Genomic DNA, 1,910 nt, shown 5'->3' on the forward strand with positions numbered 1-1,910 from the left:
TCCAACTTCTCGTGCTGATTTATAAGTGAAGTTCATCGTAGATTCTCTGTAGATATTTATAACCACGCAGAGCTCAGGTCCTCGCTCCTGAGCAGGTGCTGCTCGGCTGCTTGCCATGACTCCTCTCCTTGCACTCTGAAAACAAGGTCATTTTGTTCACAGGCTGAGTGCAGAGAACCTTGTACAGATCAGGGGTTTTAAATATGACAAACAGGAGTGTCTAATGCTGAACATTTCAGAATTCATTAAATGTTGCTGTTTTAGTAATCAAAACCATTAATTGCAATAAATAAATTTACCCATTCCCCATGTAATCCAGGGTGATATGGAGTAATTAGTACTTCATTTCATTGCTTGGAATTGATATCAATTAATTTACTTGCCAGGTAATTTGTTCAACCTGTTTAAGAATTTTTCCTTGTAATTCTGTTATTACCTTTGTCTAATAATGTTTAAAACATAATGTAATTAAATGATAACTAAAACTACTGTAAATCATATTTAGTGAGTACAGTGATTGACCATCTTTTTTTTTCTGTCAGTGCAGTAATTTTTTTCTTTTTTCGAGACAGAGTCTCGCTCTGTCGCCCAGGCTGGAGTGTAGTGTCGTGATCTTGGCTCACTGCAACATCCACCTCCTGGGTTCCAGTGATTCCCTGCCTCAGCCTCCCTAGTAGCTGGGATTACAGGCTGTGCCACCATGCCTGGTTAATGTTTTTTAAATGTTTTTAGTAGAGAAGGGTTTCACCATGTTGGCCAGGAGGTCTCAGCCTCCCAAAGTGCTGGGATTACGGGCGAGAGCCAATGCGCCCGGCCCAGTGCAATAATTAAATACACAATCTATGTCATATGTCAGGTGGACTAGCCTGCCCTTTTTTTGAGGTCATCTTTGGTTTTCAGAATTAAAAAAAAAAAAATCCCTTGAGCATTGACAGCAAGAGTGACAATATTCTTCTCCCCACTTACCAGCACATAAACCCACCCAGTCCTTCCTGGTTCTATTCCCATTACCTCCTCTTCATTCTGTTTTAGCCACCTCCACCTTACCCTTCTCTTCCCTCCCTCACTTATCTTACTTGCTCCTCAGATGGGTAGGTCCTCTCTCTATCCTTCCTCAGCCCTGTTCTTCTTCTGTCATAGTACTCCTCATCCTACATAAGAATCATTTATCTTCTGAACATCAACAAGTAGCCACTGTACTCAGGTTCCAAAATCTCTGCTGGAGATGTAGTGGTTAGAATGACCAACACAGCCCTTCTCCTCACAGGACTTCCGGTAGAAACAAGCAGGGGACTTGAATCATCAATCATATTTTAATCATCAGAAGCATGCGAAATACTATAAACTAGAAATACAGGGCAGTACCAAACTAAATGACTGCTGTACTGTCTTCAGTATCCCGATCATATCTACAATATAAGCAAGTACACAAAAAAATACAAAATGTTTTGTTTTCTTCAAGCATTGTATATACACAAGATACAAAAATATTCTTGGGAAAACCGAACACACAAATGACTATTATCCTAGAGTCCCCTCCGCTAGGCTCATGTGGAAAACTGAAACAGAATTTTACTTCTCTACTTACCCTGAAACCCCACAACTTTCTCAGACTGTCACTAAAGTTGATGAATTTTGGTTCTCATTTAAGGGCTACTTAAATGTTTCTTTCATAGAGCATGAGGTTCTTGTCTTTCTCAAGGCTGTGCCTCACTTCCTTCTTGCACTCTGTCTTGAAGATGAGCAGGAAAGCTCCTCAGAGCCATCTAAGGTAGCCATCATTTCTCCTTTGCCAAGGAAACCTTTCTCCAATCTGTTCTTGCCTGGATACCAGGACCAACTCCCTACTAAGTAACTGTGTCCCCTTGGAGTGTTGTGCAGTACAGATCAGTGTCTGCCAAACATGTATC

This window comes from Homo sapiens, chromosome 2 (assembly GCF_000001405.40).
Source record: "Homo sapiens chromosome 2, GRCh38.p14 Primary Assembly".
Lineage (NCBI taxonomy): Eukaryota > Metazoa > Chordata > Mammalia > Primates > Hominidae > Homo > Homo sapiens.